This window comes from Homo sapiens, chromosome 12 (genome assembly GCF_000001405.40).
Source record: "Homo sapiens chromosome 12, GRCh38.p14 Primary Assembly".
Taxonomy (NCBI): Eukaryota; Metazoa; Chordata; class Mammalia; order Primates; family Hominidae; genus Homo; species Homo sapiens.
In genome coordinates this window covers 85952815-85980609 of record NC_000012.12, presented here as the reverse complement: position 1 = coordinate 85980609, position 27795 = coordinate 85952815, and the positions used below count along the sequence as shown (strand labels likewise).

At 31.5% G+C, this 27795-nt stretch overlaps 1 protein-coding gene across 11 annotated transcripts in view; it reads left to right on the top strand.

Moving 5' to 3' along the window:
• The window catches only part of MGAT4C (MGAT4 family member C), an 883334-nt gene extending 858391 nt beyond the window's left edge, over positions 1-24943 (top strand). For 10 of the 11 annotated variants that reach the window (NM_013244.5, NM_001351286.2, NM_001351285.2 and 7 more), the window contains one exon: positions 180-24943. In NM_013244.5, the coding sequence (NP_037376.2) occupies positions 180-1321 (1142 nt within the window). In that variant the 3' untranslated portion in view covers positions 1322-24943. The remainder of the gene's footprint in view (positions 1-179) is intronic. The other variant, NR_147093.3, reaches the window with a different exon arrangement.
• Positions 24944-27795: the final 2852 nt, after the last annotated feature.

Sequence of the window (27795 nt, the reverse complement as noted above, 5' to 3'; positions counted from 1 at the left end):
CTTACAGCCTTTATATATTTAGCTTATTACTTTAATCATAAAATGTTCTGTGCATAGTCATTTACTAGATTTACTTAATATGTAGTAAGTAGCAAGTCAAAGGAATAAATATCTTCTCTCTTTTACTTTTTCCATATTTCTAGTTCACATTTGTATTGCTTCTGAATTCTTTTTTGCAGGGTATCTTACAATTGGACTTTCTTCAGTAAAGCGAAAAAAAGGAAACTATTTACTTGAGACAATTAAGTCAATTTTTGAGCAATCCAGCTATGAAGAGCTGAAGGAAATTTCAGTGGTGGTTCACCTAGCAGACTTTAATTCTTCCTGGCGTGATGCCATGGTCCAGGATATTACACAGAAATTTGCGCACCATATTATTGCAGGAAGATTAATGGTTATACATGCTCCAGAGGAGTATTACCCAATCCTAGATGGCCTTAAAAGAAATTACAATGATCCAGAAGATAGAGTCAAATTTCGTTCCAAGCAAAATGTAGATTATGCTTTTCTGCTTAATTTTTGTGCCAATACTTCAGACTATTATGTAATGCTTGAAGATGATGTTCGATGTTCAAAAAATTTCTTAACTGCCATCAAGAAAGTCATTGCATCCCTAGAAGGAACTTACTGGGTAACTCTTGAATTCTCTAAGCTTGGCTACATTGGTAAACTCTATCATTCTCATGATCTCCCACGTTTGGCCCATTTTTTATTAATGTTTTATCAAGAAATGCCTTGTGATTGGCTATTGACTCATTTCCGTGGTCTGTTGGCTCAGAAAAATGTGATCCGTTTTAAACCATCTCTCTTTCAGCACATGGGCTATTATTCATCATACAAAGGGACGGAGAATAAGCTGAAGGATGATGATTTTGAAGAGGAGTCATTTGACATTCCTGATAACCCCCCTGCAAGTCTGTACACCAACATGAATGTGTTTGAAAATTATGAAGCAAGCAAGGCTTACAGTAGTGTTGATGAGTACTTTTGGGGGAAACCACCTTCAACAGGAGATGTTTTTGTGATTGTATTTGAAAATCCAATTATAATAAAAAAAATTAAAGTAAATACTGGAACAGAAGATCGGCAAAATGATATTTTGCATCATGGAGCCCTAGATGTTGGGGAAAACGTTATGCCTAGCAAACAAAGGAGACAATGTTCTACTTACTTAAGACTAGGAGAATTCAAAAATGGAAACTTTGAAATGTCAGGTGTAAATCAAAAAATTCCATTTGATATACATTGTATGAGGATATATGTCACCAAAACACAAAAGGAATGGCTAATTATTAGGAGTATTAGCATTTGGACTTCTTAGCCAATTAAATCAGTATGTTCAGTTTCTGAAGCAGTTCTTCCTGCTTCGTCTTTTGCTACCTTTGTCTTTTGGAGGGAAAGCAATGGATGGGATATGTTAAAAGAAACATTAATTACATTGGCAGTTTTCATTTATACATTGTTGACATAATTTTACTCTTAATACACACTTGTATTTATTTTAACGTCTGAAGTTGAATATCAGTCTATAGCTAATGCTACTTTCATTTATATTTTTAAATGTTCTTAGTTTTAAAATTTCAACTGATTGTCGAAAGGGTAATATGAAAGATTTTAAATGAAAAAAATTTGTTGGATGATGATTTTTGAAAAATAGTCACCAACTGTATATACTTCCTCAAGAACTGATAATTCATTATATCATCAGATAGCTTTTATTAAGCATCTGTGGGAATATACAGTTGGGTGGAATGATAATCTGGTTTATTTTTTCTGTAAACTTAAGTTTCCGTTGACTTCTGTACATCTACAATGAATACCTCCTCATAGAAGTGGTGTCTTTACATAATTTTTTGTGTAGGTGACACTATGGAAAAAGAAAAAAAAGACTTAAAAATATCTCTCCCCTGATTATTTATATGAAAGGGGATATTGTTCATTGTTTAAAAACATTTAATTGAGCACCTATTGTTGATAAATTTTCTGGGGGAAGCAGTCTTTTTCAAGTTTCCCTTTTGAAAAAAAAAAAGAAGAGTTAAGCTCAATATTTTCAGGTTACATTGAGTACCCACATTTAATAGAATAAATTAGGGAAGGCCTATAGTAGTTAGCTCATTCGTACAGACATTTTCAGTATATGCAGAAAATTTTTGGAAATTGATTTTATACATTTTGTATTAAAATCCATGTGATTGAAATTATTGTGATTTATCATATACCTTTTTGGAATTTAAATGGGTATATTATAAAGGAGAAAAGTAAGAACCATAGAAATTAGTTGACTTTTCTAGAATCAAAGATCTATTTCCTAGCAAGGCCAGAATGAGAGATCTGATATTCTGATAACCAGACAATGCTCTTTTTCTCGTATGATTTCTCCTGACAGATTTATGCTTTGTGTTCTATTTGCTACATGCCTGTCAGATAATAAGTTATACCATCTGGAAATAGGTGGTACAATTCCTGCATAAATAATATTATCCTAAATAATGTCCTAAATGATGCTTTTTTGGTATAAGCACCCAAATAGTAAGCAAACTTGACTAAACTTTTCCTAATAGGGATTGGAGAGTGTGTCTTTACAATGTGTCCGTTAAAGTAATTCAGGACACCTTAGTGTGTCCTAAAGACATTGGTTTTCAGAATGTCCTGAGCTTGTCTCTTCCTTTTTGTTTTTTAATGAACAGCAAAAACTAAGGGATTTATTATAAAGGGAAATGGAAGGTGCTTCATATATGTTTAAGAAACTCAAGTACGTGTTCATATAGATGACTCTGTGTGTGTGTGTGTGTGTGTGTGTGTGTGTGTGTGTGTGTGTGTGTGTGTGTGAAGGCTAGACTTTTGCTGGTAAGACAGAATGAGGAAATCTTCCTGCTCTTCCTTTTCATACTGAAACACAATCCTTAAGATTTACTGGTATGCTGTGGTGCAAACAACACTAGGATATTTTTATTTTATTCGTTCTCTGCAAATAAATGAGAAACTCAGATAAAAAATGGAAACTTTTTATTTCATTTATAAACAGCTGTTGTGTATTTTCTTTGTATTCAGCTACTAAAGTGTTAGAAGAAAAACGAACCTTTCATAAGAGGCTAAATATTAATATTTTGTGAGGCACCTAAATCTTACAGTCATAGGAAAATATGAACACTGCCACTAAATTATTATCTTTACCTTGATTTAGAGGATACTTGCCAGACACCTAAAAATGTTCTATTTTCTTTATTTTTCTTATCTTTTATTAACCGGCTAGTTGATAGTATTGTGTGTATATCTCAGAAGTTACAAATGGCATTATTTTCTTCACTGTCAATGATAAAAGGTACACAATTGTATGCCAAAGACATGTAATATCAAGAGCTAGGCAGACTCCCTGAAATGAGTTGTAACCCCTTACATATTCTTCTGGGAATGGCTTTCTAAAGATCAGCTATTGGTGTCTATCAATGTCTTAAAAATGTTTCAAGAAACATTGCTGAGGGTAGCAGTGAAGTTGGATGTTTGCTAGGAAATTATGAAAACAAATGTGACTCAGAGAGGTCATTTCACATTTTATCTTTATATCCTCTCTTTACTAAACCTGTGTTTGGATAAGTTGGTCAATCATCCAAGGATCCTCTATGTTTTCTTTACAGTTGACACTGGGTCAATTTTCTAAGGAAAACACCTTGACAAATAAAGCATCTTCATTAGAGGTCAGGAGGAAAAATAACTATTCTCTTTCAAAAGAAAATCTGAACAATTTTTTTAGCATGGCCCAATGTTCTATTTCCTATATTTAGAAACTTTGAATAAGGGTCTAGTAATCTTGTCTCAGAGGCATAGAAACAAAAGTACAGTTATTAGGTTTAACTATACTCAAACTATTTGCTATTTTTAAACATTTTTGCTGTAAGTTTATATATATATACATATATAATACATATATACATATATATAATATATATATACATATATATATAATTTTCTTTGTTAAAAATAACAATTGAAAAAGACTGGCATGAGACATGAATGGCTGAGTCATTTAATTGCCATACAAATAAAATGCTGACAGGTTTCAAGCAAAAAATACAGTATGCACCTTAAATAATGCCTCAGAATTGTATAATTTAAGCTCACTAAAAACCTTACTTAGTCTTAAAATTCTCCTTAGGGGAGCCTTTTCAGCAGTTATGGACATCAAAGAAAAAAGTATCTTGTAAAAGCACAATGAAATTTAGAAAATACACATTTTAGTGGCAATCACAAATGTCAATATAAAAGATACATAAAATATGTTAATGCAAGAACTTTTTCATATTCATTGAAAACTATAACTTTGTGCTATTTATAAAGTAGATATTTTCCAGGTATGAAAATATAATTTGGAAACCAACCTGTCGTTTAGATCTATTTCTTTCATATAGCTACACTATGAGTTGTGAACATTCCATTTCTTACTGGGCCAGTATTCTCTGGGAATTTTTATAATGCTATCATAGAAAAACTGTTCTGTATAATAATTATATAAAAAATGAAACAAACATTTTCAAATTGTAATATATGATGTGGTATGGAAAGTACCTACATTTTTAGATGCTCAAATATTGGCATATTTCATGTCAGTATTTGCCAATTTGTCAACAAGTTTATGGCAAAGAACATGATACCAGGATTAACATTGAAAACACTACATCCAGTGCCATCTAACAATTGAAGGAAACAGTGTGTAATTCTCTTCTTTTTCCTTGACAATACATCCATCAACACAGTAATGGCATCATATTACTGAGTAATAGAGCTCACACTTAAACTTTATAATATTTATTATGGGATCTACTGATAAAATGATTTACCGTTTTGTACAAATTCAACTGATTTTGGGGGGTTTCTTGTAAGATTTAATATTAATTTTAGGATAATTTTATCCTGTTTCTTTTGATTCATGATCCCAAACTTTCTAGATCTTGCTTCTGTCATTCCACGTCTTATTATGCCTCCTCAGCTTTGTGTTTCAACAAATTTTATATGCATGCCTTTTGTCTTCATGGGAGACAAAACAGAAGGTTCATACAGACTTGATTTTGACACCCAGTTCTGCATTACCAGCCTCCCAATATGAGGAAATTTACTTAACCTTCTTGAAACTCAGTTTCTACATCTGTGAATAGGAATAATTTTACCTCATATGTTTTTAAAGGTAGCAATTTTACCTTGTAGCTCCTTGTAGAGCTGGAATTGAGATAACATAAACTAGGCACACAATAAATATTTGTTTCCTTTTTATCCATGTCACGTATATGTAACAGGATATGACCCTGGAAAACATTACCAGAGGCCTTCATTGTAATCAATAACAATTATAAAATTTACTGCCCTTTAAAAATGTTATTCAGCCTACCTTTTCATATTTTGTCCAGAGAATATCATGTGGAATTATACAGACACTTTCCTAAAATCAATATATATTCCTGTCATTCTAATTTATTACTCTAGAAACCTTATCAAAAATATCAAAATTGCCCCTAGTGCTCTCATCACAAATAATAATATTCATTTCTGTTTTAAGAAATCTTGATCCATTTACATTGAAAAACAAAGAAACATAAAGTCATTTCCTAGTTTCTAAGATGTTGTTTAGAATCTACCTTAAGCTCAGAAATGCAGTCTTCAGAATCTTTTTACTTTTTTTTTTTAATGTCAGGATCCGGTTCTCTGGCATCTTTTCTATCATTGGCAAAAGTTATCAATGCACTGACCTATAAATTACCTTGGCACTGATGTTTGAAATAGGTATCTTATCTGCTAGTCTACTTTGAGTTTCATTGTTGAGTTTTCCATTACTTTGAATTTCTTTGTTCAGATTGGGGTTATTCTTTTTAGGAAGAAAAAGGCCATAACAAAATTCAATGTGATTAGTTATTGCCATTTATTTTTTGTTTGCTTTTAAACTTTTTTTTTATTTATCCCAAACAGAGGATATATCTTTTATTACTTTTTGGCATGCTTTGAAATGATTTCATTATTGCATATGTGCATGTGTGTATCTACATATGGTTAATCTCTCAATCTGTGTGTATGTATATATACATATGTGTATGTACATATGTGTATATATGTATACATACTTGAATATTATGTGAATATGTGTGTATATTTGTGTATATATATACATATATACATGTATGTATTTGTATATGTGTTGTGTAAGTGTGTCTGTGTGTATGAGAGAAAGACAGAAGGATATGCACCATTTGCATTATTTTTTAGCCTTTACACCTCCACTTATTCTTGGATTTTCCTGACACACTGTCCTCCTGGTTGTGTTCCTCTTCTGAACTTGCTTTTGCTTTCATGTTCTCACTCAAATCTTTTATACATGACATCCTTTGAAAATCACAGCACATTAGAGATCTTTGTGCATCCTTTTAGATACTTTAAATTTATTAAAAGTGTACTAGAGGAGGCCATCTCTCTCAAAACAGAATTTTTCTTTTAGAGTTTCAGGTTTATGGTTTTTATTTGAATTCTTTAACATTAAAAGATCAAAATATGAGTTGCATAGCATTCTCTTTCTAAGCTATAAAAATATTAAGATAACAAGGTTGCACTTTCCCAAAGTTCTAGTCCCTTCCACCTCATTAATCTGTTCATCACATTTACTCCAAGTCCAGGGTAGAATTTGCTTCAATAATCCCAATATTTTCTGAGATGTTTAATATCCTATTTTTAACATTGAAATTGAAATGTATGTTTGAGACCATTTGCCAGATAACTGGATCTGAATATCTTTTCTGAAAAACATGGATTTGAGACCAAAGCAGTTTTTGATTTGACTGTTGTTTCAGCTTTCATTTCACTCTGTCTAGACGGTCTCTTAGAAGATTTACCAAAAAGTTAAATTGATTATGTGAGAAAGTGATAGGTAAATTGTATATGACCATAGAAGTACAATTAAATTAAGAATATAGCATGATCAAATTTTCACATTATATTGGATTAAAAAGTACCCTAAGTAGCCATCTCCTTAAAGTAGGTGAGCCAAAGACATAATAATAAAATATTCAATATTTTTCTATAAAATACAAATTTCCATGAGGCACACATACATTAAATTTAATATAAAGAGAATCATTACTTTATTTAAGAGTTGTTTAAAGGTGCACAACAACAGTGAGTTACCAATATTCAGAACCTTAGTCTATAATTTCAATGTACTGTAAGTTACTACAGCTTTAACCACAATAGCTGGCATAACCTAAATCATTCTGCCCAAATACAGGTAATTATAGTTTTGATGTATAAAAATTACCAAAATAAATGCATATATAAAGCAATAGAGGCTGAGAGTGTTCATAATTGAAAGCTAACTATTGCAAAAATATTTTAAATATTTAATTTATAGTGCACTCGAAGTTCTGGAAGAGACGTAGGATTTGTCTCTTCCACCCTTTCCCTCACTTTACCGTTTATTATGAAGGTACCAAAAGTATGGCACAGAGATATGTGGCAGTTCCACATATCTCAATCAACAAAGCTCTAACTCTATTAGAAACTAGACATTTAAAAAGTACTTTTTTTGTAACTTCATCTGAGTCAGGTTTCTCATTGAATAATAATCTGTCAGTTTTGTCTATAGTATGTTCCAATTGGAAAATGTTTAAGGTAGTACATGCCTCTTTTCTCCATAAAATACCCCACATTTGTTTAACTATTTGACATAGTCCTATTTTTTCCATCTTTAATAATTGATAAAATTTTCCCTACTTTTAAACATATGTATGTATTTTCTGCCACACTTAAACTTTGTTATTCCACGTTGTAACTTACTTCATCAATGAGTGAAAGTATAGTTCCAAAAAGTTAGAATAATTATCTCAGATCCTTTATCATAATTGTCCAATTATCTCAGATCCTTTATCATAATTGTCCATCCTTTAATGTAATCCGGTTTTCAATACAAGTAACACTTGCATTCTTACAACTGTGCATTTTTGGTCACTAAAGGACCATGTGACGATATCAGTAGTTGTCAGGAGTTATTCACTACCCTTAGAAAATAAACTCGGTAATGTAAACTATATCCCACACTTTAACAATTAATACTGTTGAATGACATTGAAGGATTGTATCTTTTTTTAATAAAGAAGCAATATATTAAAAATAATTAAAACTCCTAAAGTCTTTTTTTTTGTTTTAGAAATCAGTCTCAATTTTCAAAAGGGCATTTGATATCTGCTAATAAAATGAACAAATAGTTTTTCTTTAAATGAAAATATCTATAAGCTTAGCTGTGTGTAGAAGTACATAATAAATAAGTTGTCCATTTTGAATAAAAATTAAAATCCTATTAATGCAGTTGTAACTTCTCTTCTTAACATTTCTTAAGCTCTAAAACAAACATAATTAGACACATTTTCTGTTGCATGTGGCATCTTTACCCACCATAATTTGGTAATCAGTCATATCAAAATCACTTACAAGAACCAACTATTTTTGGAAAAACATTTAGAAAATTTGTCACAAATTGTCAAGAAGATTTTCAAGACATATATATGAATTGTCTGTAATGTAATGGTTGGGGATATTTTCATTAAATCCATAAACCAATGTATGTATGCTGCCCTCTAACTTTCTGCTGAGTTACTGTAGTCAATGGTAAATATAGTCAAAGTAGAAAAGACACATTCACCCTGAATATTCCCAACAACCTATCTCTCATTCAATTCTGACTATTGACAAAGTACTCCTTTCAATTATTGTGGTAAGGAGGCCTTTCTGAGCATCCAGATGTGTAAAAATAACAACAGGGGAAATGTTACAAACATGAGGTAAAAGGATGCAGAGGAAAAGTTGTACTTCATGATTTTGCCTCAAGCAAGTTCTTCTTTCCTGTCAGCATTGCAAATTACCATAGCTCGACTTGCTTGTATTCAAGCAAATCAAAACTTGACTCCCTGAGAGGGTCAAAAGACAATTTTGGTACGTATCTAGTGTTTTTACTTACTAGAACAAACAGGTCAAGTTTATTCTTAATGAAGTTAAAATTTCAAATTAAACCTGAAGCTCTAGTGTTTTCCATTTTACTAAGTGGATAAACACTTTTCTGCCATGGGATGAACTACAATGAGATGTTTGAATTGATTTGGGCAATTGATTTGGGCAATGATGAGTCATGTGTTTGCTACAAAAGTGATACAAAATATAAGTGTCCTTCAAGTTAAAGCAATCTAAACCGATCATCTTTGAAAAGTTAACAACATATTTTGTAATATTTGTTTCCTAGCAAATTTTTCAGTTGTCCAAACCAAGGTAATGTAGATAAAGCTACATATTTTCACTCAGCGTACCACCAAATAACTGGGTGCCCAATAGTGTTGATCTGATGCACTACTAAAATTAGTTACCATAAAAATTATTTTCTTTTATAAGAAGAAAGTGAAATTTGTTTAATTATTTTGATATCTTTTATCCTTATGAATATATATATCAATGTTAATTTTTTATGAATAATTAAATTTATTATAAATGCACTAATTTTTCAACATTCTTCTGATTTTCATCAGTAAATTGAATAACCATTGTTGCAATGAAATTTACATATTGCTCTCATAATATGAAATTTTACAAGGTATAATTTCACTTAACACAAACAATAGTCCTCATACCACTTTTTCATTTTAACTTTAATCTCATTATTTATGTGATTAAGTTTGCAATTTTAGCCACTCATGTGTTAGGAGCAATAGAGATTGACATTATGTAGGTAGGAAAATACATTTTTAGTAACTTAAGAAACAAGTTGTACATACTATATCAACATTTCACATTAGTGAATTTATTATCTTGCTGTATAAACTTTAATAAAAACAATTATTTTTATTTAAATTATTTAAGGTTCCTCTATTTGACTTCAAAGCAAAATAATATCTGAATTGTACAAGCACTGTGAATTTGTAATAGTCTAATCACAGTCTAATCACTAAATTCAATTAGTACTTTACTAAATTTCTTACAGTATGCTCAGGACAAATAATTTATTGAAATGAGTATACTCAGGATGGAGTTATTTTCATGCAAACTTAAAAATTACAAGACATGTTTAGAAGAATTATAGCTGGATAACACTAAACATTCACAAGTTTTAAGTTAGCATAAGGGGATTTATAAGTAATGTGCCTACGTTCATAATCAATTTAACAGTTTTCACTAACTTGACCCAATAATTTAGGGTGTATTTCCAGACCACAAGATAAAACTAAATTTTGTCCATTTTTACCAGATGATTCAAAATTTACCATTTGATTCATTTCTTAATAAAACTGCCTGTCAATCTACTAGACTAAATAAGAATATAAATAATTCAATATTATTTATATAAACAAAATCAATGGAAAATGACAATTTTATCTAATTTAATCAATGCCTGTGACTTAGCAAAGATATTCAGTTCAATTTAACAATCTTTATGAATTAATATTTCCTTAGGAATTATGTAGCTAAATTATATTAATAATCCATATTTATTGAAGGGTAAAGGCCACAGAGTGAGACTAAATTATCTAGGTCCAGAGAAAAGGCATCTAGGGCAATAAGGAAACGAAACAAATATAACAAATAACTTCTAATTTACAGATCACTTAATGTAAGCTCAGCCAAGAACAATGCTTACTACATAAATATGTTCCAAGCAACTATGAGACACTGTGTGAAGATTTCATGTGCATTTCACTGTCTATTTAATAGATTAAACAACCATATAAGGTAAGAGGTATTAAAAAAGCTAAAGAGCATATGAAAAATAGGGTTTTACTAACTTGTCCAAGGTCACATAACTAATAAATGAAAGAGAGAGCATTGGATTTCAGGTTTGTGTAATTCAAAATCTATGCCCCTTATCACTATTATACATTGCCTCCTAACTATAATAATAATTTATTGAAAACCCATTTGTCTAAGATGGGATTTTCTGGATGATATGACTATATTAAAATAACATTAAATAGTTGAAAAATGAATTTAAATAATTAGTTTCTTCATGTAAAACATTTTTTTCTCATTTTTTAAACTTGAACATCTAAAACACTTGCTTCTGTAATTCCACTGAACCACAACCTAATTTCTGTTATTCCAAAAAGAAAATAAAAACTCATGGGCTCTGGGTACACTAAAAGACTCCAAAAATTATAACTTTGTATTAATCATATAATAGTCTTTCATAACACCAGCCCCAAACATACCAAACTGGTAGTTAGACAGTATGTATGCAACATTTTTTGTGTGATTAACTATGTTTCTAAATTTCAGCTATTATTTCGGATGTTGGAAAACATCAGTAAACCCCAAAGTTGTGTTTATTGGCCTATAGCTTACATGAACTGAGTGTTTAATATGTATTTGGTACTCTCCTAATCGGTACTTCCATTACCTATGAAAGTAATGATTATAACAAGTCATCATGCAAAAGAATCATCTTTTCAATATATTGAAAATGTGTGTTTCAGACTACTGAATTCTTCCCTGTAAATCTAGGATAGATCTAGGAATTGGCACTTTCAATGTATTTTAGTTAACACTGATGCAGATTGTCCATTCACTCCTTTTAGAAACACTACATTACATCCTTACAAGTCTATGAAGTATTAAAACAGAAATGACTATTATTATTGCTACTTCAGTGATGAAGAATCTCAAAGTTTGAGTTAAGTGATGTATCAAAACTCTGACCTTGTTAGTGAAATATTAAGCCCAGTTCATCTCAACATTATTAACCTCTGCTCACACTTGTCTAAATTACTAGTTTTTAAGTCTGGCTGTTCATTAACATCTCTGGGGAAGAATTTCACCCATTCCTGAGCTCCATGCTCAGAGTTATCATAATTGTTCTGGAGTTTCCAGGCATCAGCATACTTTTAAAATTCTTCCTAAGTGATCCTAATGTGCAGACAGATTTGACAACCACGGAGCAACTAAGACTGTACCACAGTAAAATTCCAAAACTTCCCATTTATCCAGTTTGAAAGATTATAGATTAGAAAACATGATGACAAGCGTAGATTATTCTGTGTTGTTTCCTGCCCTTTTTAGGTATTTCAATACTATTATTGTTGTACTGAAAAATAAAAGTTCCAGTCAATTTTTATGGTTTTGCTGGGTTTATAGAGAACACTCTGCATGCCTTCCTATTGAATCTGGGACTCTCGTTTTTGGAGAACTACGTAAGTGATCTGTTTTCCTGAGTCTTGACATATGCACCTTATTAATTAGAGACTATAAATCCACTTTTTAACACATAAAATCTAATGATGACATCTTTGTAGATATTGAAATTCAAGAATATAAACAGCATTGCCTTCAACCCACTGCTGTTTGTAAACTGAGCTGCCTTCCTCTTTCCACAAAATTAACTAAACATATTCAAGAAAGAAGGAGAAAAACTATCAGTTTTCCACAGTGGACTTTTTTTCATAAATCCTTCAAATGTCAGCATGTATGCCTTGTCTCATTTAGTCATAGCCCATATGATCCAAATCTCCAATTTATTTGTTTTTCTTTTTCCAAGAACTGGGTACTTTAAAAATTTGTCAAATTTTTAAATTTCAGATAGCTGAAACAGAACAAGTCATATTGACTTGCTCTAAGTGTTTAAAAGGTTTGAGGTTATTGATATAGGCCTCAATATATTTCCACAAATGAAATAATGTATTTACATAGAGATCTAAAAAGTGTACGAAACTTGAGATAGCTATTTGAGTCAAGAAAAACAAGGACTGTGAATAGTGTAAATTATGTAAATATACACAGATAATTCACACACACATATTCACACATAGTTCCAAGGATTCCCCTATATCAATTCCAACTCAAAATTTCTCAGTCATTTCTGGCTAAAGAGAAACATGTCCATTTAATTAAAATCACTTTTAAAAAATCTGATCATCTATTCTTTATGAGATCAATGAATACATTATTTTAATGCTCTGTCTTATTTAAAATATTTTTCTACATAGTGTTGCTAGCTAAAATGAGGCTTTTTTAAATAAATGGATACACCTCAAAATAATAATTTGAGATCAGTTTCATCTTGGACTTATATGATTTTCAGATTTTATCTGCATAAAATTAGATTTTCTGGAAAACTAATTTGTATTACTTATTTTCTCTGTATAAACCTTGCTGAAAATGAAAACTAATAAGCTTGAATTTATGGGTTTTATGTATTTTAAAACGTAATGTATAGAGATTTCTTATAATTATTTGACAGCTTCAAGATAACCAGTTTTTTCTTTAAACATTCCACTGATTAATACAAAAAGTAACATTTTTTTCATGAGATGAAATGAAACTTGTTCTTAGGCAAACATCACTTAATTAAAGCAATTTATAGTGAATACACTCAATTAACTGATTATGAACCTGCAACACCAAAAGATTTACCAGATTTGTTCACAATTTTACTGCTAGCTGATATCAAATAAGAAAAAGACAAATCAATGTTATATCTTCAGGAACTAATAACTTTTTTCATCCTGCAAGTTTGTGAATTCAAAAAAACTATTTTCAAATAACTAAGAATTTTTTTATTATTATACTTTAAGTTTTAGGGTACATGTGCACAACTTGCAGGTTTGTTACATATGTATACCTGTGCCATGTTGGTGTGCTGCACCCATTAACTCGTCATTTAACATTAGGTATATCTCCTAATGCTATCCCTCCCCCCTCCCCTGACCCCACAACAGGCCCAGTGTGTGATGTTCCCCTTCCTGTGTCTATGTGTTCTCAATGTTCAGTTCCCACCTATGAGAACATGCAGTGTTTGGTTTTTTTGTCGTTGCAATAGTTTGCTGAGAATGATGGTTTCCAGCTTCATCCATGTCCCTACAAAGGACATGAACTCATCATTTTTTATGGCTGCATAGTATTCCATGGTGTATATGTGCCACATTTTCTTAATCCAGTCTATCATTGTTGGACATTTGGATTGGTTCCAAGTCTTTGCTATTGTGAATAGTGCCGCAATAAACATACGTGTGCATGTGTCTTTATAGAAGCATGATTTATAATCCTTTGGGTATATACCCAGTAATGGGATGGCTGGGTCAAATGGTATTTCTAAAAGAACTAAGAATTTTTAAAAAGATTTTGGTTATGTAATTAGAGTGCACAATAGAATAAAACAGCCAGGTTTTATATTTTCACTGGCAAATGATAAAGAGACAACTTTGATTAAATACTCATAATTTTTATAAAACCTCCAAAGTTTCAAAGTAGGTAGATGATGGGTAATAATTAAATAGAGTGACAGTGTTATATGCCAGGTTAAAAAAAAAAGAGACATGCGGCTTCATCCACAAGCTTAGCAAAATATGAGAAAGTAAGAAACTGTGGCCAAATCAGATAAACATAAATGAGAATAAGTTGTAGAAACTGACCTTCAAGTTAATAATTAAATCAGATGGTATCATTTTCCTCCATCTGGTTATTATTGTTTAGATTTTTAATAGTACAAAAATAAATGTTTTATGAATTATTTTGGATGCAATTACAGTAAATAACCATAATATAAAATGTCTCATAATAGGAAAATAATGCCTGACACTTTTAATTACTTAACATACCTTTTTATACATTTTTTAATGTCATTTATTTGGCAGCTATTTAAGGAGTGCCCTCTGTATCCTGGGCCATCTCTTTCTATCCAGAGTCCTACAAGTCACCTTGTATCATTATTAGGATATAGTATAAAAATTTGTCCACTTTTAAATGGAGAAATAATACAGATAAGTAAAAAAATGATGTAATAATTTGAGTTCTGTACATGACTCAGAGACTTGGACAGAATTGACAATTCTAAGTTTTTAAGTTAAACCAAAGCTGAAATTTCTAATCATTTAGAAGCTAGGAAAAGTTCTGTTTCAAATTCAATTGATCACTTCATGAACAGTTTGTTCATAATTACTTCTTCTCTGCCTTTCAGCGTAGTCTTGTTCAATTGTTCAGAGTGTCCTTTTTTTTTTTTTTTTTTTTTTTTGAGACAGAGTCTCACTCTTTTGCCCAGGCCGGACTGCAGTGGCACTATCTCCGCTCACTGCAAGTTCCACCTCCTGGGGTCACGCCATTCTCCTGCCTCAGCCTCCCGAGTAGCTGGGAGTACAGGCGCCCGCCACCACGCCCGGCTAATTTTTTGTATTTTTAGTAGAGACGGGGTTTCACCTTGTTAGCCAGGATGCTCTCGATCTCCTGACCTCGTGATCCTCCCGCCTCGGCCTCACAAAGTGCTGGGATTACATGCGTGAGCCACCGCGCCGGGCCCAGAGTGTCCTTATTCCCAAGTTCGTGATTTTCATAATAGTAAGAGAACAAAAAACAAATCTTACAAGCAATAAATTTTATAAATAGTCTTCTCTTAAGATGCAGAACACCAACATGGCACATGTATACATATGTAACAAACCTGCACGTTATGCACATGTACCCTAAAACTTAAAGTATAATAAAAATAAACAAATAAATAAATATTCAACACCTCACTCTAATTGGAAAGGAAATGTGCCTACAGAAGTTAAAGCACATTCTATGAGTTTTAATCTTAGGTGCCAAGAAGGATCCATGACCTCCACATTTGACAGAGAATAGAAAGACTCCACGGTTTTCATCATAATCCAAGGGAGGTCAGTAATAGTTTATTTGCATTTCTCGAGGGCTCTCTGGGGCCTCACTATCTTACATAAAAGTGAGTTTAATCATAGGACTTTCAGACATTAGCCCACAGATGGGACATATATTTTGGGATGGAGAACTTTTAATAAATCACATTACCTAGGTGGCCTCTCATTCTACTTCTCCATATGGCAGACTCTGTAGGAAAAAAAAATGCTTCCTATAATGTTTCTTCTTTACCACAGAACTGTCAGAGGAAACAGCCGAGAAAAACTTAAAACTAAGCTACAATATTTGGCAAAAATAATGGTAGTTTTCAGAGGAGAAGCAATTTTTCTGGCGTATATGTAGGATAAGAGTATCTTACCTTCCTTAAATAATGTTATCTTTACCAGTAAACATGATGTATTTGCCTTAACCTAGTCAATTTCCTTTACCTGAATTCCCTTAAGTTTAAAATCATAATTTTTCAAGATAAGGTTCTAGTCTTAGGAATGTTGCTTAAGAACCTGAAATAGAATGATACTATTATTTCATCCTGGTATTAAAATCTCTAAAATTTTCTACAAAACTAACATTCTATGTGTTCTGTGGCCAATGTGATAATAAATCCTTGCATAACAACAGAGAAAAATATCCTATACATTTGTCTTACATTTTTGCAAAATAAAGAAAATATTTTGGAATTAAACTAATTTCAAAATCCAAGAATTTCTATGAAAGAATTTTTTAGCAGTAACCACAGATGAAAAGAATATCATTTAGTATCTCTTCATAGTGTCTTTATAACATAATCTAATCATTGGTGTTTTATAATCTTTCATAATTTTTCATATATTTGATAAATCCTGATGTTGGGTTTATTTCTGTTGAAACACCAGTAATTGTTTTATGTCACTTTGACTTTTTTCTATAGTTTTGTTTTCTGCTTGTTTATCTAAATTATCATCATAGTTGTAATCTGAGAACTAGGCAAACATAGGTACTTTTGACTATCACTTTGGGGTGATACTATTTACCCAATATGATTTTTTCCCATTTTACTCTTGAAGTATCCTGTTGCTTACTCTTTTGTGTATGCATACATTTGAAACATATGACCTCCCAAGCATTCTACTTTCTCTTATTTTACTTATTGTGTTGGCTTTACTGTTTATGTATGATTTAACATAAATAATTATTTTGTTTTCTCTCTCCCATCACCCACCCCATTTACACGTTACAACAAGACTTCATCAGCCCTGGGGTCATGATTTGAATTATATTATCTGTGCCATTAAACAACCTTGAGCCTCAATAATATCTGTTCAGATTTTTTCAATGGCTATTGTTCATTGATAATTACATTCTGGGGACATGCCAGAATGAAATCTCATGGTTTCTCAGCCACAAAGATTTGTTAAGAATCAAATTCAAAGGTATTTGACTTGGTATTTATGATTCATGGCAAACCCAAGCATAATCTTTAGCAGATCTTTAAGCTTCCTGAGCTTATAAGCAAACTCTGTGTGTGTCTGTGTGTATGTGTGTGTGTTCCTATGTGGGTAAATTTTTCTTGATAGCATCTCTGTGCTTTCATCATTATCAAAAAGTTTCAGGACCCCAAAATGGTTAAGAAACACTGACTATGTGCTAGTTACATTTCAAGAATATATTTCTACATAAAAATGTTGTATTTATTCTAAAGGCAAAAGCCATGGAACAATGTGTACTTTTAAAATATTTATGAGGAATTAAAAATTCAATTATTATAATTTTTCCATTTTAAAATTTTAGGATGTGATTTTGTAATAGCCTCCAAAAAACATTTAAAGCACCCAAGTAATTAAACTAGTAAAAGTTCCTTATAAACCAGAAAGCAAAACTATTTTCCAAATGGGCAATAAAAATATTACTTTTGCATGTAAATAGTTGTTTAAGTGAATTTATTGTTTATATTAATTAAATTCTTTTGGACAATTTGCCACTTAAAAAGATCAGTGTTTGAACTCTAGGAAATACTTGTTTATGTAATTTTTTTTGCAAGTAGGTAAGAAAAGTATATTTCATTATCAAATAGCTACCCTGCAATACTAACATAAACAGCTATTTACCCATTTAGACTTAACTATTCAGTCAATTACACAACAGTCTTACCATGTTATTTAATGAGTGGAACAAAAATAAAGGTCTTTATAACAGATAAAATATTTCATTTATATAATGAAATAAAATATCTTGGGATTAATAAAAATAATGATTTTTTTCATCCTATGTAAAATGTAGTTGATAGCACTGATATATTAATAATGTTATGGGTGAAGTTTACAGTTCATTACAAGTTGAATGTACTTAAACAATCTACATCCTTCACTCCTTCATTCAATCATTTAATTCAGCCATTCCTTATTTGACAAATGTGATTTGTCAAATCACATTACTAAATGTATTATACATTTAGTAATAACCATACATATCATGTTGAATTGTTGTGAGGATAAAAAAGTAAACAATGTTCAATTATTGTTAATATTTTATTTTATAATTAATTATAAAATTTTATATAATTATATAATTATATAATTAATTATATAATTTTACTTCATTGGATGTTGTAAATTGCTCTGGTTTAGCCTTTAGACATTTGAATCAAAATGGTCAAATTAGTCTCTAAATTCAGACATTGACTTTGTTCTGCAGATCTCAAAACGAAAGATATGTTGGGATATTTAGACCAGAATGCATGTGAAAATACTACATGAATGAATGTATTTGACACTGATCTTGAGATGACAATCTACAGTCCTACAATAATTATTCTAACTCCATGTTCTCTTTCGTGCACACTAGCTAGAGCACATCTCACCCACTGACATTGGAATCTATCCTTTCGTAAGTTATTTTTAACGTCTTAGGATGACTTTTATAAATTGAAGATTTAAGAGTTTCTAAGGGGACTGTAGGTATATTCTACTGTTGTGTTTACCACATGTTCCATTCAGATACACAAAAGAAATGAATAAAACTGGACATAGCACACAGTCTCACTGCTTTGATGGGCAATGATTTTTGACAATGGGTAATTAACTCTTACATCATTAAGTTCCATCGTCACAGAATAACCTTAGAATCCTAATAAAATCCCACGGCTTCAAATTGTATTTAATAGCTGCCAATCCAAGCCTCCTGACTATGCTAATCTATTATTTAGAATAAATGAAAAGTGTGTATCAATTTGCCTATTATAATACAAAGTGGGAACTCTCATGCCAACAAGGTTAGGCCAGAAAAATTCAAATAAATTGGAGATGTGTTTTGATACATTTTCTTCCGTTGCTCTTATTGTATCTGACATGGAAATTTCCTTAGGGTGAAGTTTATATAGTGACAAGCATATACAATATTCTTGAGGTATTAGGCCACAGTCAGAAAAAGAGAATATAGGAGGAATTATGTGGTAGAGGATGATAAAAGATTAGAAGTTGAAACTATACCATATATAATTTTATATATATACATAATTATCTTGATTATAACCTAAATTGTAAAATCTCAATATTATTAGTACCATCCCCAGACACATTCCCTTTGTTTCTTAAATTTTTACTCTCCAAAAATGGGAATCACAGAAACAGAAGATGCTTAAATGTTCATGTTAGGCATTTTTTTCTGAGCTCATAAAAGATTATTTGATCATTTAATGTGTTTTTCTCTCCAATAAGACTGTAAAAAGTTCAGTGTTTCGAGGCTGCTAAACAATGCCCATAGAGTTGACAGTCTCAAGAATGACTGGAAAATGATGGAGTTGGATGCTATAGGTCATACTTTATAAATCTGACTGAAGGAGAATTAGAATACTAATGAGAGTCAACAACAATTTTCTTACCTGCTCCCAATTTGTAATTCTTGCCCTGGTGGCACATATATTACAAGGAGAATATTGTTTTCAAATTTATAGTCAGAAAGTCATTTAGGTGACTGACTTTGTTTTTTAAATAGTAAGTTGACTGTCTTGTTTAAAAATGCATAGTGCCCTGGAAAGTTATGTGAATACAATGATTTATTTTAAGTAAAGGGTAGTTTTATAAAATAAAGTGCCAAACATCATATAAATAAATATTTACAGGCTCAGTATCAATCAAATCAGTGGTAAGAGTGAATTTTTTCAATGTATGACTTTCATATCAAATTTTTTTTTGGTGATTCAGCTTAATAGGAGTTTATGGTATGGGCCCATTCACGTTATATCCAAATAAACAAAAATTATCTAGAGTTGTTCATGCCATCATTTCCTTCAGCACAGTCTTCAAAGTAGTTTTCTCATTACCCACTTTGAAAGATATTTCCAAGGAGAGGATAATGCAACCCATTCTATATGTGAATAATGGGTGGGACACAGGCCAATAATCATGATCCAAATTAGTCTGAAAATCAAAGGAGTAAGGGGAGAAAAAAAGAATGAAGGATTAATTGATTTGCTGAGAGCATGTCACATGCTAATTGTTGTTTTACATTTTTCATCTATGTCTCTCATGTGATTCAGACCACAAATCTGTGTGATAAGTATTGTTATCCTTATTCTACCAATGACGACACAGTAGTGAAGTCATAATTCAGACTTGAAATTCTGTCTTCTCTCAATTTTCATCCCAAAATTAGATATCCTCGATGCCAGTTCGGATTCTCTTATTCAATGAGAAAATCACTTCCTTTTCGGCCCTTGTCATCTTTGTCTGTATAACAAGGGGATAAGACAAAGACGTTTGATGAAAATTTCTTCAAGTTGTATCATGTTTTTATTCTTAGTGGGTAGTCCTTTGTAAGTCTGCATACGGCTGGCTGGTGACACAATGTGGGCACCATAGACCGAAAAATAAAATTACTGAAAAGGCGAAGTATACTTTCCAAAAATTAGACTCTAATCAATGTAGTCCGTGCAACAATTTTCTTTAATACCGAATTGCATTTTATATAGCTATTTGCACAGATCTTCACAATAAAACCATAAGAAAAGGAGAATAGGATATTATCTTCACAGTTCTACAGAGGAGTAAAAAAACTGACCTTGATCTAAATAAGTTTAGAGGTGGATTTTAATCCTTTAATAAGCAAAAGACATATAATAAAATTGATAAATGACAATATCAATACTTTATCTAAAAGTAATTTCATAAAGAAACAAAGCCAAAATTGATTCAGTTAACATAAAAAAGAGTTAACCCAGAAGAAAACAATGAATATTGATCTCGATTTCAGCAAGCAGAAAATAAAAAAAAAAAAAAAGCAGAAAAAAGTGAGAAATTGTTAAGGTGAGTGAAAGATGAGCGGCGGTTGCTCTGAGAAACTACAACACAACTTATTTATTCAAGTGGCTGGGTCAGATTTAAAGATGTGATTTCAATAACTTTTTTGAATAGAGTGTTGTACCTTTGTCTAAAGTAGTAAAATTCATTTGAATTAAAGCTGAATATGGGTTTTCCTCCTCAAATCCAATTCAATTCCAAGGTTTGAAATTGCAGGGGCTCCTGAGAAGAAATGGCAAAAATAAAAAAGAGAAAGAGAGAGAAAGGGGAAGAGAAAAGGAAAAAAGAAAAATCTATAACTTGAAGCCCTGTAAAGCAAAGATTTACCAAACTTTAGATTTTATACCCCCTCTTTTTTCAGCATATCCAAATAAATTTACATGATCTTATGAGTGTAAATCTTCTAGTCTTCATGAGATTTTTCCAGCTTTTCTGCCTTTTAGATTGACATTTCTAGTTGCTTAAGGTTTCTTCTTCAAAGCAATGGGTATAAAACATGTGATTATTATTAAACAGTTATGGAAAATACCATCTTTATTCCACCACTTTATCAGGTAGAACTTGAAGGTAAAATAAAGTTTGGATGCTGAGTCTACATGTATTGTATTGTATTGTATTGTATTGTATTGTATTGTATTGTATTGTATTGTATTGTATTGTATAGTGGTTACCAGAGATTTAATAACATAGCAGAAGTAACTGAATCGCCTCCTCTGCCCTATGCACTTGTATTTTTTTTATTTCAAAAATGCCAGGAAGATAAGTGTATGCAAAAATATAAAGTTTGTAAAATTTTATACAACTTAATCTATTTGATCATTAGTTAAGTAAGCTTAACTAAATTAAAAATGTATTTTATTGCTACTTTTTTTAACTCTCTAAAGAATACATTTATGTTTTTGAAGGAGCTTTAATTTAGTAACAGTTAATCTTTTTATTAATTTTAGTAAAAATAATCATACCCTTTTAATAATAAAAATTAAACTTTAAGTCTTTAAAATTGCTAGTTGTAAGTGAATTTGTCAAAGATTAATTCATAGTTGCCAACACTTACTGAACAGGTAGATAAAATTAACTTTGTTTATTTAACAAATAACTTGGTGCTTTCTAGTTAGTTTAAAAATATCAATAATTGTTTCCTCACATGTATTTATGTCCTTCCTTCACAGCATATAGTCAACCATAGAGACTCAATGTAAAGTATTATGATAATTTATATGTCTGAGAAAATAAGAAGATTGATTCATTGAAAAGTTAAATGAATTTGAGATACAGGTATTTCTGACTGCCTAGTTACACTGTATGAAATACTTTAAAAACTGGCCAGGCGTGGTGGCTCATGCCTGTAATCCCGGTACTTTGAGAGGCCAAGAACTCCTGAAATCAGGAGCTCAAGACCAGCCTGACCAACAAGGTGAAACTCCATCTCTACTAAAAATACAAAACATTATCTGAGTGTGGTAGAGCACGCCTGTGGTCCTAGCTACTCAGGCGGCCGAGGCAGGATAATCACTTGAATCTGGGAGTCGGAGGTTTTGGTAAGCAGAGATTATGCCACTGCACTCCAGCCTGGACAACAGAGCAAGACTCTGTCTCAAAACAAAAACAAGCAAACAAACACACACACACACACACACACACACACACAAAAACACTTAGAAAAACTGTAAACAATTCAGTCTTGTATTTGGAAGAATGGTGACTTGTAAATTTTGCTGTACATTAATGACAAGTCTCTCACTCAAATAAAGATAACCTAAGTAAAATAATTTATGTCAGATGAAAACATTCCAAATTTTCTTGGAGAAAAAGCAACAAAAGCCAATAAATAAAGGTGGTTCCCATTACCTATTTAATTATTTAATATCTTAAACTATTATTAAATGCATGCACCACCTGCACTACCCTGACCGATTAACCCCTTAGCTGAAGGAGTTCAGTTTGTATTTTTACCATATGATCTGTCTAGATTCACTCTTTTCAGGATTGATAGATTTTTTTTTTCTTTTTTCTTTTTTTTTTTTTTTTGCTTTCTTATTCAACTCTACAGTAAAAGAAAATCTGTGGTTTTATTTGACATAACAGAGCTATCTTCAGCCATAGCTAGAAGGAGGATAGTAGGATAAAGGTCAATTTTTGTCTTCCTTCACAGCTAACAGATATATGTAGCATGCTTAATAATAACTCTCAAAGTCTGTTGCTCAACCTCCCAAACCATTAATTTCCTTCTAGCCACTGCTAGAGTTCATGCATGTCATGAAAGGAAGGCTAGAGGGACAATTTCTGTATGCATATCTCTGGCCCATGCCCTTCAATGAGACCCAAATATAATTAATTTCTGGGATTTTTGCAATAAATAATATGAGATGACCTCATTATAGAATGAGGGGCAAGATCCTTGGCCTTGGTCTTTCACAAATAATATGACTTTATTTACAGATGAAGAAAATAAAATAAAAATTAAACATAAACTTTCCTCAACTTCCTGCTTTTAGCCCAGGTAGCATGTTATTACTATTTCTTTTATAAACAACTGAGTTCTGACTAACAGTCTTTAAGAGGAGCTGCTATGAGGAAATATAGATAATAACAAAATAATAACATATTTTTAAAGCTTTGCCAGCAGCAAAGGGCTCGCATCTACATACTCTCATTTTATGTGTCCAACCAATGGTTCCACATAGCCATGAAATCAGCTGTTACAATAGGAAGACCACCACTGAACAGTTTTGTAACTCATTTCAGAATTGACTTTGGTATGTGCTTATTGGTGTATTTCTGTGCTTGTGTCAATTCAACAAAGCTTCCCAAGCAAGGTTACTTCAAACATTACTTGGGCCACGGTAAAAGAAAAATAAAATTCTGTTGATTCAGAGTCACCTTCAATCTCATGTCATAAATTATGTTTCTCTAGTCTTTGATATTGTTTCACATGTGCATGATTAGATTGGTTGAGGATAGACTTTGGGCTCATGATTTATTGACTAATTATGTGGTTTTCCCACTGTAGCTTGGGTTAAATCTTACAAGACAGGCTGAAAACTGAAATTGTTATGACATTTTTGTTTTCTCTACACCATACCAAGTAATGCTGTTTGATTGAATCAAATATTTTCTAAAGACTAAATGTAATCCAAAAAATGATCTGTAAATGTTCCCAACAGGTGTCCCAAAACCATATTTTAGTAAGTTTTTCAATTGGTCCAACAGTTCTATAAATTTTACCTTGAGGTAACTAAAATGGAAACATAATGAATATATTATCTCTATTGTCTAAGGACAAACAAAACACCGAAGTTATTGAGAATCAGATTCCCATGTTAGCATAAATGAGTCACCTAGTTTTTTCAACAAAACCAAGTAATAAATAAATCAACACTTTCAGTTTTCTGCCAGTGTCACAGATGGCAGCCAATTGGTTTGATTAAAAATCTGATGCTTGCATGTTTGCATAGTAAAAGACAGGGTTTTCAGGAAAAAATCATTATACTTCTCACTGTGTTCCACACAATGTTGAAGGTTATGTCCAAATTTGAAAAACAAATCCAATTAAACTAGCTACCATACAAATATATCTTTTGTTATTGAAAGAGTGATTTCAGTCGTGATTTTTCATTAATCTAGTTTTGTAAAAATCAGACTTCCTGTAAACCAATTGAAAACCTCTACATTTTACTATATGTATTCATGGACTTAATTTCATCAAAAATACCAATATTCTCTGTGCCCTAACAAGTGTAATTGCACTAACCTTGTAGTTGATATTTACTGATTGAAATGTATATACACAAAAATTATGTAAAACTGATTATCTAGAGGTTTCTTCATTAGCTAGCACAAATAGTTATTGTAAACCTTTGTCCTGTATTTTTTTAAAGTCTGCAACATGGTGAACCAGTATGCTTGATGGCTTTAATACCTGTGTCTGCAATTTATTATTCATTTGAAGCAACAAATTCAGAATTGTTTGAAATTATGAAGGCTAAACAGCATAAATACATTGTGGTTTCTTTTATAAATATTTGCTTTCATCTTCTGAATCTTGTACTTGTCTCCAAAAGAAAAAAAAACAGATGTTATTTGTCTTAAGCTAACTATAAAGGTCATAAATGAGAGAATTTTATGATTCACTTGAAATGGGGGAAAATATTTATTCTATTCTTTCATTTTAAATCACGTGGTCATAGAAATAAAAATTTCTATATGAGTGAAAAATAGATGAACAAGCACAAAACCAGAAATGATTAATATGCTGAATTAAATGTTATACTAAATAAAAAGTAAAAATTGACTCAGAAAAATAAAATAACTGAACTTTCAAAAATTAGAAGAGATTTTGTGAGGATGATTTAATTATAGATACCTGGATTAGTTCCACCATCTAGTGGTTGAATTTTACACTTCCCAATATGAATGCCCCAAAGAATTTTTTTCCCAGTGAGTTTTACTTTGAATATACTTTGAAGTTCTGAATGTTTTATAAAAGTGTATGAAAAATTCTAATTATATGACCAAATATTTACTTTAGAAAGGAAAAGCACAAATATATTAATTACAATAGCATTATATAAATCAAAATTTTAATTTTGTTTCATTCTCGTTACCATTTTGCTTTATGAGAGTATTAGAAAAGAAAAAAAATAATTAAAAAAGAATGTGTGGCCAGGCACAGTGGCTCACGCCTATAATCCCAGAATTTTGGGAGACCGAGGCAGGTGGATCACCTGAGGTCGGGAGTTCGAGACCAGCCTGACCAACATGGAGACACCCCGTCTCTACTAATAATACAAAATTAACCGGGCATGGTAGCACATGCCTCCCAGCTACTCAGGAGGCTAAGGCAGGTGAACCGCTTGAGTGCAGGAGGCTGAGGTTGCAGTGAGCCCAGATCGAGCCACTGCATTCCAGTCTGGGCAACAAGAGGGAAACTCCATCTAAAAAAAAGAAAAAGAAAAAAAGTCACACAAAACAGTAGTCAATATTTAAAAATTTAAATAAAAACATGAATGGAGTTTGCTATCAACAATACTGTTTATCAAACTCCTTAAAGGTAACTATGCCTAATGAAGAGTAAGTTGATTAAGCTGCATAGTAACTTTTCTCATGATTCATCAAACAGACATTTGTGAAGCTGTGGATGTTTTTGTTGGAATTGAAATAACCCTGCACTGATGTAGGGGCAGACAAAATTGAATCTGAATTTTCAGTATTATTTTAAATTTTAAATTGATGGTTAAATTGAACCACTATTTTAACAAATTTCCAACTTGAAATTTCGATTATTCATTCTTATATGAAGTGTTAACAGAAAAATCATCTTAACTTCTTTGCAATCTCAAATTTTATTCCATTTTCTTTCTTGGCGTGTTCCCCAAAAGATGACCCAATGACTCTAATCCTACCTAACTTAAATGTTAGGAATACCTGTTCCTCTTCCTCCCATATTTTCTTCAGGAGTCTGACTTGTTAAATAAAGCCAGAGGAATCTCTGTCCACAAAACAAAACCAATCATCAGAAAAATTAGGAAAATATTGAGGGACTACTGCACTGCTGAGGCCACCATAAGACTGCATTTGCTTCACTGAATTAGCAAACTGAATAAAAGCCACCTGGCTCTCAGAGGGAAAAACAAAGGAAAGATGGAACACAGGCATACACACACACACACACACACACACACACACACACACACACACTTAAAGTCGCATGCCTGAGCAATAACATCTCTCCTCAATTACCCTCAGATTTTATGTTGTCTTCTTGCTCTTCCATACCACAAGTGATGTTTATGTAACAAGAACAAAACAAGTAAACAAAAAAAAACACACATAAAAATGTAAAAGAGTAACTATCCAAAGTTCTGATGAATGTATGATACTCAAATATATATATATATCTCATTAGTCATGACCTCAATGTGCTACTTGAAACTGAAAACACTAGCTTTAGTATTCCAGGGTAAAATTTTCTACTCTCAATAATATTACCGAGCTGAGAGTGATTACTAATGGTTGATCAGTCAATAAATGAGCCACCTATTAACAAAGCCAAAAATACATTTGGATTGGTAAAAATTGCACTACTGCAAAAAAAAAAGCTATGAACTGTTTAGCTTCTTTCAATACAATAACAGATAATATTTAACATAAGTTCCAAGAACTAACCTGTATATAAGGCCAAAATGAGATTCAGGAAATTGTCAATATGGGCCATTGCTAGGGTCACCATACATCCTGGTGTTCCCGGATTAGTTGTGAATATTTCAATTTGTGATACATCCCAGCCTTTCTTTCTTCCTCTATATGTCCTAATGTTTATAAATAAGGATATATGATACTGTGATGCCCTTACTAGTAATGAAAGAAACTATTAATCAAAATGAAACCTTTATGTTCACTCCAAATTTTAGAAAGAAAACACAAATATGTTGCTAATAGTAATATTTTTTCTAAAAAATTCAACATTTATTATATGATTTTTGGTCAGTAGACATCCAATTAAAATTTGGCAATTTACCATTCTCATCAATGTTTGAGTATTCACATATGGATGTAAAGATTTTACTTTCTAAAACAAGGTTTAACACAAAAACAGACTTTGATCATTAAAATGCCTTATTTCTTGATTATTTTCTTAAGAAAGGAGGCAATTCAAAGTTTAATAAACTATTTCTTATTAACATATCCAACAGAGTTTGTGTTATTATGCAACTGCACAATACCTTGGAAAAGTCATATAAAAAAGAATTTTTTTCTTTTCTTTTTTTTTTTAGAAATAGGAATTTCATGGGGTTAGCTCAATTATGAAGCCTTAAAATAGAATAACCATTGTGATGATTGATTTTATGTTAACTTGACTGGATTAAGGGAT